Source organism: Homo sapiens, chromosome 8 (genome assembly GCF_000001405.40).
Source record: "Homo sapiens chromosome 8, GRCh38.p14 Primary Assembly".
NCBI lineage: Eukaryota > Metazoa > Chordata > Mammalia > Primates > Hominidae > Homo > Homo sapiens.
In genome coordinates this window covers 42,152,229-42,171,445 of record NC_000008.11, presented here as the reverse complement: position 1 = coordinate 42,171,445, position 19,217 = coordinate 42,152,229, and the positions used below count along the sequence as shown (strand labels likewise).

Genomic DNA, 19,217 nt, shown 5'->3' with positions numbered 1-19,217 from the left:
TTTAAAACTCTGGTGAAAAATAACTAGGTGGATCTGGACCTTATGCTCACAACCCTAAAAATGACATTAATATCAGCATCTGCTATCTTCCAGATGTGACCAAAGAATCGATCAAAACACATGCTTTAGGTCTGCTGGCTAGACAGGACAGAAGCAGTAAGATCCTCCTGAGTCGATGAATTCCTTACTCACTGCTTCTACTGAGGTTTGAGTGGCATAGCACTGTTGTTAGTTCTGGTAACAAACCACTTAGGACATAGAAGACTGGTGAAACTCAACTTTATTAAACTTAAACAGAGAAGCTACTTCTGCACATGTTAAACACACATGGAACCAAACAGCTCGATGGAGACACCCTGCACTGCTTATGGTGATGCTGCAGGAATGGCGGCAGCGATGCCCGCTACACTCCATGGCCTGCTGCACATGTGACAGGACAGTTATTTCATCTATGCTTACACCTGCAGGTCCCTTACCCTAGAAACACTCTATATCTTCTTAGGTACTTCCCTTGAAACAGGATGAGTTCTAGAGGAAATAAAACTGCTGCACTTACAAACCTAGAAATATTCAGGGACCAAGATTAGTTGTTCAGTGACCTAGGAAACCTTAGAATCCTGTAGGTTCCTCAGGAGAGGTGCTTCCAAGTACTTGAGAATCCACAGGCAGAGATGCTTCCCTTTCCATGGTGGATGTGTATGTCACTCCAGGACAAACTGCGGAGTCACGGAGTGTGGAACACATCTGGTTGTGTACAGTACACTATCCCAGAGGAAAATCACAAAGCAACACAACTCTGCAGCAAAAACTAGTCCCAAAGTCAGAAGATAAAACTAGCAAAAACTTTGCACAATATTTAGAGAAAAGCTCTAGGGTGTGGAGAGTACGGGTCTTCCTTTTTCTCCATGCACCAAGCAGAGCACAGTATCATTCCTTAAGCTATAAACAAAAACCCTTTTGTATAAATATTTAAATAGTAACAGACACACTGAACTAGGACAAAAATGACCCACTGGGAAAGAAAGCCTGAGGTATCCCTTTAGTTGCCATGTTTCTTAAACTGGGTTGCTTACACCCATGATCAACACAGTCCATCTTCCTACAGCACTGATTTTATTCAGAGATTTAGGAGAAATGTTTTGTCTTAGAATGAAAAGGGACTGGTAGATATTAATGAATACATGATAGGAGTACAAAAGAAAAGACTGAGGAAATGATAACTTTACCAAGCAGCTTCAAGGATCAACCACACCCTCGATGGTAAGCTTTCTCTTTTTCTAGGGCGACAGATGGAAAAGTTTCCGACCAACGGGAAGGTTACGATCTGGTACCAGTCCAGCACTGACAAATGGAGATATGAGCTCACTCACTCACAGCTGTGCTCACCTTCATGGGAAGAGTCGGCCCTCTACTCCAGTACGATGACACACAAACCCTGGCTGCACTGGGGATTATGGGATCGGCTTCTCTGAAACTCTCTTACTTTTTAAAAATCCTGTAGAAGGATCAGGTAACAGGAAAATGGCCGGTGAATTCTGTAAAAGGAAGTGAGTAGAACTGTTTTGGGTTAGAAAAGAAGCACTTTAGGCAGCCACCATGGGAAGAAGGCGGGTCACCTTCTCACTGAAGATAAGAGACCAAGTGCTGATGGACAGCAACAGGCAGTGTCTGAAAACTAGTCCGATACCATCATGGTCTTTGAGGGAAAATCTGATTCCACTGGGGTTTCCATGTCAATAGTGGACTCAAATTTAAAAAGTCTCCAGTCCATTTCCAGAAGTACAAGTGTTTTCTACATGAGTAGAGGAATCAGAAAGAAACCAACTCAACTCTTTCCTTCCCATCCCTCCTTAAGGTAGAGTCCGACTGCTTTTCTTGCCAATCTTTCATTTAAGTGTCTCCTCCTAACTCCTTTACTTCTTTTTCCTCTTTCTTCTCCTTCATAGAGCAGATCCTTAAGTGGCCTTTCCTTGACTGACATTCATTTTCTTCCCATCTTTCTTTCTTTTTAATCTTTCTATCTTAAAAAATCAACAAAGAAGTCTTTCATTGGCTTTAGATAATTAAAGCCAAGCAAGCTAAACAAATGTTGGTCTTTCCTATAGAAACCACGTTTAAAATGGTTACATAAGCACCAAGCTTCCTACCCCCATCACACACCTTGTCCTTGAGAACTGGTGTTGCTGTGTTTCAGTTCTGTCCAGTTCTCCCTGGTGACCTTTTCCTCCCTTGATTAGTTCCATGGCACTGAAGGCTAAGGAAAAAAGGGAGCGGGTGGGTCCAGGAGGGGACTGACCTAGGAGACAGGCTGATATTTTTTTTTACTTTTAGACAAGTAAGAAATGAAAAAATGTGCAAGACTATTCCCTCAGCAAATGCTCCCTTCAGGTTCGAACTTGGAACTTCCCAGCTTTGGTCATGTATTTTATGCCCTTAAAGGGTTTGTACTTTTCTCCATACATATCCAGACGATTCACCTTGAGTCCTAGAAAGGAGGGAGAGAGGGAAAATAGACATGAGTATTATTCAAAAGGAGCAGGTCGCCTAACTGTTTCTGTTCAATACACTGAAGTCAGTGGGACCGACATTGCTGTGACAGGGAACCACTTATGCAGAGCAGATGGATTCTCCAGTCTTGGGACAGATACTGACAGCAAAAAAAGGCTCCAACAGACAAGCTACCTATGAGAAGACCTGTCCCTGAAGTGGAAAGGGTACAAAGTAATGTGCAGACTAAAATGAGGATAAGGAAAAAATTAGACCACTGCATGATTTTTCTCAAATTATTGGACTGAAAAAATGAATAACAAAACAAATGAATAATGAAGTAAATTATAAATAAAGGAATTAACAATGAAAGTAATTAATAAATGAATGCTTCCTAAGTATTCTCACTAGACTAAGCCAAGAATATTTTATATGGTATAGAGCTTTATAGTTTATTGTTTTAAGATTGAAGAGCTTATACATCAAATGAATTCCAATCACTTAAATTGTATAAGGCCCGTTTGTACAGAAAAACAGAAACTTCATATAAAGCTAAAGTCATCTCCTTTCCACATCACAGAGTTTCTAAGGATTAAAAAAGAAAACACATGAAAAGAGCTTAAAACAGTGCCTGGAACATGGTAAATGCCCCCAAAGTGGTAACTGATGACTACCGTGCTAAGGTCGGCACAGACTATAGTGAACTGACCTGGAAAGGCCCAGTGGTTCCAAAATAGAAATAAGAGCAAACATGAAAGTCTTCTGAAAACAGAAGAAAGGAGTGGAAATTACACTTCAGTTATAGCTGAGAATGCACATGGATTCTCATACTGAAAACCTTGGGAACCTGAAATGAACAACCCTAAGATGATCCAAAAATGGCTAGTGAATACTTCCTTCTACCAATACTGTTTCTTTCTCAGTGTGTCTTAGGCACTTTTATTCAGGTCACTTATGCCAACTTCAAAGGAAGGATTGTAAATTTTCCCCAGAAACATGCCAGAAAAGATGTTACTAAAGATTGTTTATCAGGTAATGAAACTAAACCTTGTAAACAGGAAGCCCAGAAAGGCTTCCTGGTGCCTGCGCCATATGGCAGAAAGCCGTTTTTGTTCCCTTTGGAGCCTCTTGAGCTCTGGGTCACTTACCAGAAATGGCCAGCTGCTGGATCTTAAACTGCAGGTTAATTGTGGGGTTTTCATCTGGTTTGGAAGCTCCAGCCTGAAGACTCATGGTCCCCTTCAAACTTGGTAGCTTTTGTGGATTTATTTTTCCTACATCCCAAGACAGCATCTTCAAAGAAAATAAAAATGGAGAAGTGGTCTTTCCAAAAAATAGTTACAGCAGAATCCTGCATTTGAGGTGGCTGAGATCTAAACTCAGGGCACCTGTCCACAACATTATAAGCTGCCTCTGGGTATCTTTCCATTGAGAATCCTACGTGTTACTGTTAAGTTACCTGGCAGGAGAAAACAAGGTCCCTTTGACTCATCTCACCTTCCAAACAAGGTCTAGAGTCTACACAGAGAACCTGCAGACTGGTTTCTGCTTAACATCAGCAATTCAAGATGTCCTGCTCATCCCTACCTTTGTGACTGGGTCGAATGTGTGTGTCCCCTGTGATGGAGTAAGGCTCATGTTCAGGACCCCCTTGGGCATCTGGCTGGTGACAGTCACTCCCTCAATGGTCTTCCCCATCGTCTGCTTGGGTCCCACCGTTATTTCAAAGCGTCCAAGGGAACTACTGTCCCGGAAACTGATGTTATGTTTGACATACACTGGGATTGCAACCAGACTGGAAATGAGAGACAAAGAGTCATTTCATTCGTGCACTGGGAAAATGGTAGTTCTTCCTTTCACATGATGCTTTTTCTGCCCTGTGGGTAGCTTCTTCTCCCTTAACTATGTCCTTACTTTTTATCTGAAAAAATAAACAGAAAAAAACCCCAGTAATCTAATTTTTTCTTTTTGAAAAGCTACTGTCTAGTAACTAAATTAACTTTTCTAATGACTCTGAATAATACAAACAAAATCAAAAAGTACACTACTATGACAAAGGCATAATGTACAAAAATGTATTGTCATTATGTCTCCATGTTTTTAACTTGTAACATGTGACCAGTCATCATTTGCACTGGGGAGTATAATATTCATAGCTCATGGACCTTTTATAATTTCTTTCTTTTTTTTTTGAGATAGGGTCTGGCTCGGTCAGCCTGGTTGGAGTGCAGTGGCACGATCATAGCTCACTGCAGCCTCGACATACCAGGCTCAAGTGATCCTCCCACCACTGCCTCCTGAGTAGCTGGGACCACAGGCACACAACATCACACCCCGCTAATTTTTACTTTTTTTTTTTTTTTTTTTGTAGAGACAAGGTTTGGCCATGTTGCCCATGCTGGTCTCGAACTCCTGGGCTCAAGTGATCCTCTTGTCTCTATAATTTTTTTAGAATGCTTTCATCTGACATCATCTGGTCCTTACAAAAACCCCATAAGGTAGGGTAGGCTGTCATGATTTGACAGAAGAAAAGGATTCAGAGAAGTCACGGAATAACCCTGAAGTAATAACAGTTCCTAACATGTATTGAGTACTTCCTGTTTGCCAGTCACTATGCTAAATGGTTTCTATCCATTTAACTCCTACCGTGTTTAATCCTCCCAATAAGTATGAAGTAGATACTGCTACTGTAACTATGTAGTAGGTACTGATTTTATAGATGAATACTGATGTCCTTATACTTAACTGAGATTAAGTAACTTGCCCAAGGTTCTAAGTACTGAAGATGGGGTTTAAGTCCAGGGAGTCTGATTCCAGAGGCTTTGACCTCAAGCACTCAGATATTTTCCCAAATGATTCATTCCACATCACACGGGAAGGGACTGGTGGCTCTGAGGCCTCCTGACTCTCTTCTGTCTGCATACCTTATACTATACAAAACTGCTTCCAAAAGCCTTTAGATTCCAAATTAAAGAGAATGTTCAAGACCAAAAATCACTGCGTTTTATGCTTTTTCATAGCATAACTTAATGCTTCTTTTAGACCAGGGACATTGAACACAGTATGCCCAGATTCTGATTTGAGAAAATAATGTTCTTGTTTAGACACATAACAACAAAAATAACAGCAAACTTAATGAGCACTTCTTTGTGTTAAGCACTATTCAGATTCTCTTATTCAATCTTCAGAACAAGGCACTTTTATTATTTTCAATTTACAGATGAGAAAAGAGATACATAGGGGTTAAGCAACTCACCTGAGGTTACCCAATTAGTAACCACAGAAGCTGGAATGTGAACCCAGGTAACTCTAGAGCCTGAGTTCTTAATCACCACAGATACGGTTTCCACATACATGTACATACACGGATTCCATTCTTAATTATAAGAGCTGCTTACTTCTGTGCACTGACATGGTAAGACAGCAGGCGGAAGTTTCCATCAGGAGGGATGAAGGAGAGGATGCGCTCAGATTCCCAGCGTTTGAAACGAACACAAGGATGGAAGCTGACATCATCCAACAACCTAGGGTTCTACAGTCATCAGGAGAGGAGAAGCAAGAAGTGGGCATTAAACACCCGCAGTGCTTTCAGGAAAGCAATTTAAATGCTGTTTTTAATTAAAACACACCACACACACACACACAGAAATCATGTAGTGACTTCTAGAAAATTCAAGCCTGAGACAAGCTTCGTGGCTGTCCTAATTATTTCTTCTTGTTCTATTCCATTCCCACTACTCTGTCTTTCCAGCAGCATTTAATTTCTCATCCCAAGAACTTAATCTCTGGCCCAGGATTTTACCATGAAGGAAAGTGTAAGGTCTGGCATGCCAGTCAGCTTGACACAGGCATCAATCACCCCCTGGATCTCAGCAGTAATTGTGGAGCCTGAGACAGGAATAAGACAAAAAGAACACAGATTACTGAATACTTCTCTGTCCTTCTCAACAAACTTATCTCCTCCCTCCTTCTCTTCCTCTCTCCCTCACCTTCCTCTCTCTCCCTCCCCTTCCTCTCTCTCCCTTTCTTTCCTTCTGCCTAGCCATCCAATTCATTTATACAATCCATCTATCCATCATTCTGAACACTTATCAACTGCACATCAAGCATGAGACACTATGGTGAGGTAACGGTGATAAAAAGATTAATGAAGTAGTTATTAGCCTAAAGGAGTTGTCAGTCTAATATCAGAATTAAACAGAGCATCATTATTTTAGCCAATGGTTCAGAAAGTTTCCTATCAGAAACTGTTCTCCCTAAGGTCACCAATGAGCTCTGCTGCTAAAGTGAGTGGTCACTCCCAGTCTCTTATTCTATACATCCTCTATGTGGCATGTGTCACTGTCAATCACTTCTGCCTTCTCAAACATCCCTCCCTCCTAACCTCTCCTGGTGTCCTATTTTCCCAGCTCCTCTTCCTCAGTGTCTTCGGCAGGTTCTCTTTCTTTGCACATCCCTTAAATGCTTTTTCAGTTCTGAACTTCTATTTTCTTTCACTTTACACACTCTCCTGGGTTATTTTACCTACTTCCCAAGGCTTCAATGTTCATTTACAGCCCATTATTACCTATTCTTTTTTCAAGTTCAGCCCCACTCCTGCCTAATGGACATCTCCACTTGGATGACACTGAGGCACATGTCAGAAATGAGTCCATTCTCTCATGCCCTGAACCCGGTGCTCCCATTTCCAAATCTGTGTGATGGCACCATCTATCCTGCTGCCTAAGCCAGAAACACAGATGCATCCCTGACAACGTCCACTTCTCCCGCCCACATCCAGCCAATGATCAGCTCCTTTCTTTTCGAGGACTCACCTCTCTCTGGTCTGTGCATTCCTCTCTGTCCTCATTGCACTATGGACATCTATGTTTTGGGCCTGGATTTCAGCCTCGTAGCTGCTCCCTGCCTTCAGGCCCACCCCACTTCAGGCCATTCTTCACACAGCAGCCAGACTCATCGCTCTAAACTACAAGTCTCATCAAGTCATTCCCAACTTAAAACTCTTCAATCACTCACATCTGCCCTCCTTAAACTGGCAGGCAAGGTTCTTCATGATCTGGCCATATATATTTTACTTTTTCGTTGAGGTAAACAGTAAAATGTAAAAATCTTAAAGTGTACAGCTCAATGAATTTTTAAATATATATACATTTATGCAAATACTAGCTACAGCAAGATACGGAACATTTTCAGCATCCAAGCACTCCCTCTTACCCATCCCAGGTAATTCACATCCCCAAAATTCTGACTTCTATTACCTTAGACTAAATTGCATCTGTTTTCAAACTTCATATACATGTAATCCCACTGTCTATAATCTTATGCATCTGATTTTTTGCTCAATATTGTGATGTTTGCGCATACTTTGCTCCCAAATCCACACATCTTAATAACTTCATTTCAATCCACTGATGAAGCATAAACACCCCCACCTCTCTGTTGCACTTTGCTCAGGGGTGGGTACCTCTCATATGCTCTACCTTTTTACCTTTCTCTCTCCCTCACTAGACTTAACTTCTGCAGCCATAGACTATGTCTTATTCATCATCAAGTGCCCACTATCTAGCACTGTGCTATGATGCAAGTTTTCAGTAAACATCTGTTGAATTTAATAAGTTCACTAATGTGAAAAGGACTTTTTACAATTTTTTTTCTTTAGTTAAAGACAGGATCTCACTATGTTGCCCAGGCTAGAGTGCAGCTATTATTCACAGCCATAATCATAGCTCACCGCAGTCTCCAACTACTGGGCTTAAGTGATCCTCTCACCTCAGCCTCCCAATAATTGGGACTATAGGCTCATACCATCATGACTGGCTTCTACAAATTCTGAAGCTCCAGGACTTCTAGTCATATTTACCTAATTCAGAACACATAGAAAAGGCAGCTCCCTGAATTTTGTGATTACAACTTTAGTTCTGCCATCAGAACTGGGAGCCAAATACTTTCGAGAAGGTAATTTAATCAATAAGAAATTAATTTGTTACTTTTTTTTTTTTTTTTTTTTTTTTTTTTGAGACAGGGTCTTGCTGTTGCCCAGGCTGGAGTGCAGTGTCATGATCAGGGCTTACTGCAACCTCAACTTCCCAAGCTCAAGCAATCCTCCTACCTCAGCCCCTCACAAAGTTAGGAATACAGGCATGCACAACTATGCTCAGGTAATTTTTTTCACTTTTTGTGGAGATGGGGTCTCACTATGTTGCTCAGGCTGGTCTTAAACTCCTGGGCTCAAGCAATCCTCCCGCCTCAGCTTTCCAAAGTGCTGGGATTACAGGCGTGAGTCACTACATCTGGCCTGTTACTTCTCTTTTTTATTCAAGAGGATAAGACCAATAAAGCAAGTAAACATATGAAATAAACCCTGGTCTGCATCATAATATTAACGTCCATTCCCAGTACCCAGCACAGTGCCTGGCACAAAGTAGGCACTAAATTGAAGTGGATGACCTTGAATGGGGGTTAATTCTGAAACTACAAGCATTATATGAAAGAGGTCCCTTTCTATTTTCATATTTCTGAGAACATATTAAAAGCACCTACCTGATTTATCAATAATTGCATCAATCTCTTCAATCACATCAAAATAGGCCTCATTGTTGGTATATTTCACCCCAGTCCGTCGCCAAGGCACCACTGACAGCTGCCCAGTGGGAAGCTGGTCACCCACATTCGTGCTTCCTGAGGCAATTAATATTACTGTATTTTAACACCATTTTGACTCTAGAAACCACAGAACACCTCCCTAGAAGTTTCTATGCTCCCACTATTCATGCACTCAATTGAAGAATTTTTCAAACAGAAGATGAGGTTTTTCCCAACTTCTATATGGGGTAACCTAGTCTATTTTTAAAACCCCTTGTTGCCATCTGGTCTGCCTTTTCAAACAGAATAAAGGTTTAAGAAAAAGTTACCTGAGAAACAGATATCATATTTTGGTTTTGAAAGTAACCTGAACTTAGTATCTCAGATGCAGCTTAAATAATGTATTGGCTTTCAGTAGAGTTCGTAATCTACATATTGATATAAAAATTTCATGGGTAAAAACAGTATTTGAGCCTGAGATAGGTTCTTAGGTACATTTATGGTAGGTACTAAAATGTACATATCAATATGATCTGTCTCATTCCCAAGTTCCAACACTGAAACTTAGGAAAAGAACACAAAGTTGATCTCTCCCTGTCTTTAAGAATTGTAGATCAATTCCTTCACTTGTTTTTTCCTTTACAGGCATAAACTTTTTTTAATTTAAAAGGTTTTATACTGACATAATAAAATACATTAATTTAAATTCTATTTCCTTCTTCCATTACCTGGATCCTTTTATTTTCTGTCTTTAAACAAAATTTTTTTTAGATAGAGTCTCGCTCTATCGCCCAGGCTGGAGTACAGTGGTGCAGTCTTGGCTTACTGCAACCTCTGCCTTCCGGGTTCAAACAATTCTCCTGCCTCAGCCTCCCGAGTAGCTGGGACTACAGGCGCGTGCCACCACATCCGGCTAATTTTTGTATTTTTAGTAGAGACGGGGTTTCACTATGTTGGCCAGGCTGGTCTTGAACTCCTGACCTAATGATCCACCCAACTCGGCCTCCCAAAGTGCTGGGATTACAGATGTGAGCCACCATGCCCACCTAAAAAATTTTTTTAAGAGATAGGGTTTTCCTATGTTGCCCATGCTGGAGTTCAGTGGCTATTCACAGGCACAATCATAACTCACTGCAGCCTCGACCTCCTGGGCTCAAGTGATCCTCCCACCTTAGCCTTCAGAGTAGCTGGGACCACAGGCATGCACCACCATGCTTGGCTAATTTTTGTATTTTTTGTAAAGACAGGGTTTCATCAAGTTGCCCAGGCTGATTTCGAACTCCTGTGCATGAGTGATCCTCCCGCCTCAGCCTCCTAAAGTATTGGATACAGGCATGAGCCAATATGTCAGGCCCATTTCAACTTTTCAAAAGTGGTTCTTAGATACCCTTTTCTAGATTAAAGTGAGATACAGGCTTAACTCACTTCATAATATTCGTAAATGATTCAGGCACTAACAAAGCTTTTAAGGCTTAAAATGAACTCAGAATATTGAAGAAACCACCAAATTTGTTTCCTTAAAAAGAGGAACTATGTATTAAAATGTATCATCAAGATATAATAATCAAAGCAGTCTAGGGAAAAGGCAGGAAAGCCTAAAAACAGACCAAGAATCCATAATGACAGGACAAGATAGAAATGTCATTCTAAAACAGGGGAAAAGGATAAATTACACAATGGTGCTAGGAAAACTCTTGAAGAAATAAACATTATTGCACACCAAGATAATTTTCAAATGGATTAAATAATTAAATCCAAAAATAAAATCACAAACTAGACTTTTAAAAAAGATCTTCCCTTCTCTGAGATCAAAAAGACATTCTCCTGTTTTTGTCTAATAATTATAAAGTCTGTGTTTAACTCCTTAACCTAGCTAGACTTTATTTTGTGTATAGTGTGAAGTGGAGGGACTTAATTTTTTCCATATTGAAGCTGACTGCCCTAATACAATATAGTTAACAACCAGCCCCTGGTCCACTGATTTGATAAATGACCACATCTATCTACACCAAATTCCTATAAAAGCAAGGGTCTGTTTCTGGACTATTTTATCCCAATGACCTATCTGTCTGTTACAGACAAATACCAAATTTTAAAAACTACCCAAACTTCATACAGATTGAGTAATCTTTACCTGAAATGTTCAGGACCAGAAATGTTTCAAATTTTGTATTTTTTTAAATTTTGGAATATCTGGATTATACCAGTTGCGCATCCCAAATTCAAAAATCTGAAATCCTCCAATGAGCATTTCCTTTGAGTGTCATGTCAGTATCCAAAAAGTTTTGGATTGTAGAGCATTCTGGATTTTGGATTTGGGATGTTAAACCTGTAATATATCTGATATCTGGTAGGACACATTTTATCTTTCCTCTTTTTAAAAATATTATTTTCAAAACTCTCTTGGGTCTTGTAGGATGTCTACTGTATGAATATTTGTCTTGTGTACTATACAAACTTAACGTGTCGTGATATTTGACAGGGCAAATCCTCCCAACAACCCCTTTGTAATTCTTTTCCAAAACTGTCCTGGCTATTCTTGCAATATTTATACTTTTAAAATGTATTTTTCAATCAGTTTATAAAATTCCATGAAAATGCTTGCTTATGCATTAAACAAGACCCAAAATGTAAAACCTTAATGAAAAGAATGATTAATTTGATTAAATCAAAACATTTAAAATGTGGCTAAACACCACCAGAACAAAGCTAAATCACAAGTGATAGACTGTAAGAAAATATCTGTAATGCAGTAATCAAAAGACATAAAGATCTCCCATAAAAGAGATTTTAAATCCACATGAAAAAAGAAATACATTTCAACAACAAAAAAATGAACAAAGGACATGAAAAGGTAATTCACAATAGAGGAAAAACAGTCAATAAATACTTGAAAAGATTTTAGTCTCCTTAATAACAAAAAATGACTGTAAATACAAGATATCAATAAACTATCAAATTGCCAATGTTTCTAAAAAATTATTAATGACAATAACAGGGTTCACTACAGTGCTTTGAAATTGTTACTGAAAGTATAAATTGGCCTAACTTTTCTGGAGAGCAACACATTACAGTACTTAAAATGTATACACCCCTTGACACAGCATTGCTACCTCTACTACTTTAAAGAAATCATCCCAGATGTGCACCAAGGTTCAAGTGTAAGAATGGTAATCCTTGTTATTTAAAAGAACAAAAATCAGTAACATCATAAATAGGGATTCAGTACGTAACTTTGGGTCCACTCCACATGGAAGAAAACTATAAATTATTAAAAATGAAGGCCAGGCATAGTGGCTCCCACCTGTAATCCCAGAACTTTGGGAGGCCAAGGTGGGTGGATCACTTGAGGTCAGGCATTAGAGACCAGCATAGTCAACATGATGAAACCCCATCTCTCCTAAAAAATACAAAAATTAGCTGGGCATGGTGGCGTGTGCCTGTAATCCCAGCTACTCGGGAGGCTGAGGTAGGAGAATCGCTTGAGCCTGGGAGGCGGAGGTTGCAGTGAGTTGAGATCGCACCACTGCACTCCATCCTGGGCAACAGAGCAAGACGCCATCTCAAAAAAAAAAAAAAGAACCATGTAGAAGACATCATCATGGGATAATGTTCATAAAATATCACATGTTAAAAGTGTGGTGGGATTAAAAGCAATTTTTGCATTCTTTGTGCTTTTCTGTATTTCTGAAGTTTCTACAATAATCATGTGTTTCTTCTGTAATCAGAAAAAAATATTTTTAAAGAACACTTCATTTTGTCATTAAAATCAGGGTATTTTCCACAAAGCAAAAATATTATTTCAGGTTGTACTCAGTCTACAAGAGGGGCCAGGCGCGGTGGCTCACACCTGTAATCCCAGCACTTTGGGAGGCCGAGGCAGGTGGATCCCCTGAGGCCAGGAGTTCAAGACCAGCCTGGCCAACATAGTGAAACACCATCTCTACTAAAAATACAAAAATTAGCTGGGTGTGATGGTGCATGCCTGTAATCCCAGCTACTCGGGAGGCTGAGGCAGGAGAATCACTTCAACCCAGGAGGCGGAGGTTGCAGTGAGCCAAGATCACGCCACTGCACTCCAGCCTGGGTGACAGAGGGAGACTCTGTCTCAAAAAAAAAAAAAAAACAACTACAAAGAGCAAAATTAAAGCACTGGGACACCTGAGATCCCCAAAGACAAACACTCAAAACAATGTGCGACACTCGACTAAGCCACTCAGGCTGTAGGATGGCCACTATCTATCAGTTTCCCCCTCTGCCGTACCTGTGATGGTGTTGACAACCGTTCGAAGGATGGTAGGAGGCTTTATGAGTTCTTTAAGAATGTTCGACTCGGTAGCCAATGGAAAACCATTGTCAAGCATCTCTTCCAATACCTCATAAACCACAACTACATTGTCTTTGATCACTGGCTCTGAACAGACTCCAAAATAATCCTGATGGAGACAGAATATACACATTGATCACTCAGATACTGTAAAATAAATAAATAAATAAAAGAATGTGCCTACAGAGAATAAGGATCTGGCCTGTCCATGTGTTTCTGGGCTACTCTTCTACAACGAGGGAATGCAGCATAACCATAGTTCTCTTAGGCAGTCTGTTTGGTAGAAAGCACTAGACTGGCTTATGGTACTACTGTCATTACTAGCTTCTTCTACAAACAAGAGGAACTTAAATCTTTTGGGTTAATTTCCTCAACTTGATAAAATACACAGAATACAAAATTGAATCTTGATTATGTGCTTATCAACAAGAATTTGAAAGAATTATACAAAATAATACTTGATATAACAAAGAACAGTACATGAAAATCTTTACCCCTACTGCTGTGCTATTTCTTAACATTCATGCAGTGAATAAGAGTTGAGGGGAAAAAAATGAAATGAAGGGGACAAGCTAGCACACCTGAAAATTCCTTTGGACTATCTTTAAGACGCTAGCATTCCAAGAACTCTTTGTCCTTTTATTTAAAAGGCTAACGTTAGGTGCTAAATTATCTGCATTGTGGGAAAGCACTGGATTTCAAACCAGAAGACCTGGATTATAATTTTGTCATTTGTAGATTAAGTCATGTTAATTAATTTTGATCTTGATTCTTTAATGGTATAATCAGGATAACACCACTGGAGGTACAGGGCTGTAAGAATTAGGCATGACTAATTAAACACTAACGCTCATGAATGTACTTTGTAAACTATAAAGCACTACAAAATGGAATGCGTGATCATTATTTAGCAAGAAATGTTTGTGGCTATTCAATGTTCCCTTCCAGCAATGTCAGTATGTCTTTTCCAGGACCTCTGAGAGGGTCATGCAACCCTCTTGAACTCATAGAATGAAGGAAAATTTACTCCTTTTGAGAAAGTCCATTCTATTCATGAATGGCTCTGATCATTCCAAAGTTCTTTCTTTTGCTAAACTGAAATTTGCCTCCTAGCTCTGTTTTGCAGAGCAAGTGTACATAACAGCCCTGCAATTATCTGAAAACTACGAGTTTTCACCTCAGTTTTTTTCTTCTCAGGGCCACACTTTCAAGATACTTCCGCTGTTCATGATAAGGTATGGTTTCCAGGTTGTTTCACCATCTTTCCATTTCTTTGACATCCAAAACTGAACAGACTCTACTAGAGTCTAAATTACATTAGATAACGTCAATTATCCACAAGATTCCAATACCCGGGTCACCTAAGAGTCAGGAATGTATTCCTAAAACAAAAAGATTTCCTCTTTAAGAGGAAAATTCTCATTTTGAATGATAATTTAAAAGAAGAAAAAGTCACACATTTCCTTCCCAAAAGTGATTTATTTTTAAAAAATAAAACACTTCACTAGGTTTTATAAACCAGGCATCATGTGAACTAAGCAGCTGGAAAGGAGCCTCGCAATACAGCCAAGTGCTGCAGCCGGCCTGTGAGCCTGCAATTCTATTGCGGGGCCGCTCCTGTCACATTCTGGTCCTGGAAAAATCATGCTGCCGGAGAGGATGCACATCCACATCGGAGACCTGAGAATCAGGATGTCCACTGACTTTTAACAACTGCTTCAAGAATAACAAGCTCTGAAGTCTCAGACTTCCAAATTAGCAAATTTACTCTGCTTTCCCAAATTCCCCCATGGTTTCAACTAGATCAAACAACTCTTCTCACTTCCTGTCTTGTAATAAGTTACATTAGTATGGCCATATAGCGGCTGTCAGTTTCACCAGTGCGACTGTTAATCTCAGAATGAGTAAAGTATCACACGTGGAAATCATAACAAGGCCCAGTTAAAAGTTGTTTAGGATCACAACTCCTGGGTTCTTCTAGTTCTTCCACATACTGGGACTTATACTTACGTTTTCACTGTGCAAAGGGGCCGGTATGTTGCATGAGAACTGAAATTCCAGAACAGTAGTACTACAGAGTATTGCAGGGAAAAACAAAAAATGTATTTTAATTCTCTTGGGAAGGGAAGTTGTTCTAGACGTGGTGCAGATATGAGTACAAGAGAAGGAACTCTTTGACTTGCTTTTTAACTTTTATCATAGTGTGTGGGTCCTCATTCTCTTCTCCAATTCCACAATTCCAGTGTTCATATGACTCATTCCAGACCTCATATGACACAGAAGTTAAACCAAAAGGCCCTCGCTTCTCATTTGAGTTATGCAAATAACCACAACAGTTAGAAGTTGATTGGTTCTTTTGGGAGAAAGTTCCTCTGTGTGAATCCAGGGCCGGTGCTGTCTGAACTCCTGTGCTGCAAATGGTGTCGTGTCCTGGTATCACTGACCTCCCTTGGACATCACCCCCTAAGTTCTTAACATCTATTCCTGAAGAAAAAGCTTAAAATGAAAACTGCCTCATAAAATGGCTCACTTAAATTCTTACAGGCACATGAGATTTCCCAATCTCATCTTTGCAAGCAGAGCTCATCAGTACCACTCTCTCACTATAAAGAACCACCTCAAACCTGAGAACTAGTACAGGTTCATGAGTTACCCCTGACTGGGAGAGTTAAATTAAGCATTCCTTAGCTTTTTCTACTTTTTCTTTTCTAAAACTTTATACAATCACTTTCTGATGCAACTCAAAGCAATGCAGATAACAATGGTTAGGATCAAGACCACCAGGCAAAAACAATCTAAACTCTAATTTGTGAGCAAAAAGTAGAATCAGAGCTAGAAAGGCTATATATAGTCATCGCAAATAGGATGACTTTCCCACGCAAGAGGTTCAAAAGTATTCCATTTGTCATTTTGCATGCAGCCAATTCAATAAATAGAAACCAGAATCTTATCAGATGGGAGAGGAAGTGAGTAATACCAGAGTTTTGATTTTTTTTTTTAAGTTTCTTAATGGAGGCTTTACACAATGGAAACAGGACTACAAAGACACTTTACGGTTTACATATATGAACTTTCCCACATTCACGAACCTGAAATGTGTCCACCACTCGGTGAAGAAACTCAATGACAAACAGAGGGGGGACCTCCGTCTGGATCACGGCCACAAAAAAGATCTTGTGGCGGTAAACACTTAAGAGATAGTGGTGAGGGGTAGGGATAACCGGAGGCACATTTTCTGCCTCAGTAGCTCTCTCTTGCGCCTCAAAAAAGTAATCACAAACAGAACGGCTGACCACACTTTTCCAATGTTTCTCCAGGAAAATGTCTCCAGAGGAGTTGATCAAGAAAAGACTATGGATCATGGTGGCGATTGTCAGTGACAGAAGAAAGCCTTTTTCAGTCTGAAAGCCTCAGGACTCTGTAAGTTTTCAACTCTAAAAACAAAAGCAGCGATATTCAGTTCCATTCAACCAAAAGGCCCTCCCCATCTTTTCCCAACAGTCCAAGACTTACCCATCTTTCAAGACCAGGCCCAATCTTCCCCTCCTGCATGAGCCTGAAGATAGCCCTCCCTTGAATTCGAAACGATAATGATCAGTCATCTGACTGTCAATCATATACTCCCAGTTATCTTTACTATCGCCCAAATTGCATCCATTTAAAATACTACTTATCTGTGGGTGTCTATTTTCTCAACCGAACCGCAAACTCCTTGAAGAAAAGGGCCGTGCCTCATGTTTTGCGTTGCCTGACTGCAACACAATCAGTGTTCTTTGAAGAGGGCTTCCAAGAACACTGAATTTGATGTCATGTTTTGGCAACAGCTCACACATACACAAGAAATGCGCAGCTTAATACGATAGCCACTATGGGACCAGCGAGCACTTGAAAGGTGGCTGGTGCGGACTGAGGTGTGCTGTTAAGTGTAAGACACACGACAAATCTGAAAGGCTTTGCATGAAAAAAAAAATTTCAAATATCTTACCAATAATTTAATATTGATTATATGTTGTAATAACATTTTGGATATCCTGGGTTAAATCAAATATATTAAAATTAATTTAACCTGTTTTATTATTTTAAAGTGGTTACCAGAACATGTACAATTACATATGTGGTTTGCTTTCTATTTCTGCCCACCAGAATTGGTGGGAGGAATGGAAAGCTGCCCTTGGGGGTCTTTATTCATCCAATCAGAGCTATTCTCTGAGCACTCCTTAGGCACTTGTTAATGCAGTAAGACATTTAAAAAGATCCCTTGGGGCTCCCGCCTGTGATCCCAGTACTTAGGGAGGCCTCCGCGGGCAGACCGCTGGAGCTCACGAGTTCGAGATCAGCCCGGGCAACAGAGGGAGAACCCCGCCCCCTCCACCTCCAAAAAAAAAAAAAAATTTCCCTGGGGGACAGACACCCCAAGGCCCTCAGACGGTTGCATCTCTCTGGTGCCAGTCGCCAGGATGTGGCCATTCCGCGAACCGGCGCGGGTGGTCAAAACGCAGAGGCCTGCGGTGCCCAGCGCCGCCTGGAGGAGACAGCAGGAGGGAGAGACAGCCAGGCAGCCCGGGGTGCGAGGGAGAGGCAGCGGCCTAGGCAGGCGGTCCCTGCGCAGGCCCCGGCCCAGAGCCGGCGGCGACGGAGGCCGCGGGGCGCAGGCGGGCAGGGGCCTGGCTGAAGGGGCACGCGCGTTCCGGGGTGAAGAGCGCAGGGGTGCCGGGCCGCGCCAGCGAGCGCACGTGCGCTGCCATGGCAACAGTGTCCCCTCCGCCCGCAGCCGCGGCGCCGGGAAGGACGCCCTCCCCGAACTCTGAACCCGGCCCCTCACCTCTCCCCGCCGCGTCCGCAGCCCTGAGAGGCCGCCCGGCTGCATCCTGAGACCCCGCCCCGACCCTCGCGCGCCCCCACTCCTGCCCCCTCTCCAGGCTCGGGGTCGTCCCTACTCCTCACCTGGCCTTGCTGCTCTCAGCGCCCACTGCTCCTAGGCGCGGACAGGCCCCGCCCCGCCCGCCGCGCGCGCTGAGGCAGCCGCTCGCCCGCTGATTGGCCGGCCCGCGGCCTGGCTACCGCTCCGCCCACGATCTGCGCCTGAAGGCCGCTGATTGGGTATCTGGGAGCCGCTCCTCCCCTCTGATTGATCGCTGTTGGCGGCTTGCCCTGTTGTCGGGCTCGAGTCCCCCGATTGGCCCTGTTGAGGCCACGGTCATCTCCGATTGGTACAGCTCCGAGACCCCGAGTCCTGATTGGAGGTCGAAGACAGTGCGTGCTGCTCGGCCCCACTCATCCAGTCACAAAGGGCTGGGGCGGTCGCCGCGCTCGCGTGTTTGCGGAGTGCGCCTGGAGGGGGCGCTGGAGTATGTGTGTGCCGGGGCGGGGTGGCTTCCGGGCACGAGTTGCTGACAGCGCCTCGCGGTTGATAAATCCTGAGGGCGGCGGCTACCCTGCACTCCATCGGTGCCTTTGGGAAGCGCCGCCTTCTCTGTTGTACCCGGCCGTGGGTCAGGTCGGCGCGGCTGGCGGTGGAGTCTCGGACACCGAGCCCTGGACCCCGACTCTGGAAGCCCCCAGCCCCACTGGGCCGCGGCAGGGCGCCCACCCTCCACAATCTCAGTTCCCAGCCGGGGAGTGAGGGGCTGGGCGGGTCTCTCCACCGCTTTGGAGACCTCAGGACTTGGATACGCTTTTGAGTGGTCCCAGTCGTCCTGATCCACGAAGGCGTGGAGTGGAAGTCAGGACCAGGGGTCGCCCCAGTGACGCAGGAAGTCAAGCCCAGATGCGGTGAGGCGTCGCCAGCCTTGGACCCAGCAGTGGGCGCTGGTGACAGTGG

General features: G+C 42.3%; 1 protein-coding gene across 3 annotated transcripts, besides 1 other annotated feature; it reads right to left on the bottom strand.

Moving 5' to 3' along the window:
* Positions 1 to 262: 262 nt before the first annotated feature.
* Positions 263 to 18,383, bottom strand: AP3M2 (adaptor related protein complex 3 subunit mu 2). 3 transcript variants are annotated; one of them, NM_001134296.2, is made up of 10 exons: positions 18,341 to 18,383; positions 16,910 to 16,968; positions 16,486 to 16,830; positions 13,334 to 13,505; positions 9,028 to 9,165; positions 6,290 to 6,375; positions 5,886 to 6,019; positions 4,075 to 4,282; positions 3,636 to 3,780; positions 263 to 2,485 (listed from the first exon to the last, which is right to left on the bottom strand). In NM_001134296.2, exons 3-10 carry the CDS (start codon positions 16,756 to 16,758, stop codon positions 2,385 to 2,387), a joined length of 1,257 nt encoding a protein of 418 aa, NP_001127768.1. In that variant the 5' UTR covers positions 16,759 to 16,830; positions 16,910 to 16,968; positions 18,341 to 18,383; the 3' UTR covers positions 263 to 2,384. The 3 variants fall into 3 exon arrangements, with proteins under 3 accessions (NP_001127768.1, NP_006794.1, XP_047277231.1); NM_006803.4 differs by lacking the exon at positions 16,910 to 16,968; XM_047421275.1 differs by lacking the exons at positions 16,486 to 16,830; positions 16,910 to 16,968; positions 18,341 to 18,383 and adding an exon at positions 14,574 to 15,392.
* Positions 17,868 to 18,477: a silencer, noted in NCBI's record as "silent region_19153". NCBI's record gives its function as "represses an Ori minimal core promoter by ATAC-STARR-seq in GM12878 lymphoblastoid cells {active_cell/tissue: GM12878}" and the evidence as "EXISTENCE:reporter gene assay evidence [ECO:0000049][PMID:35858748]".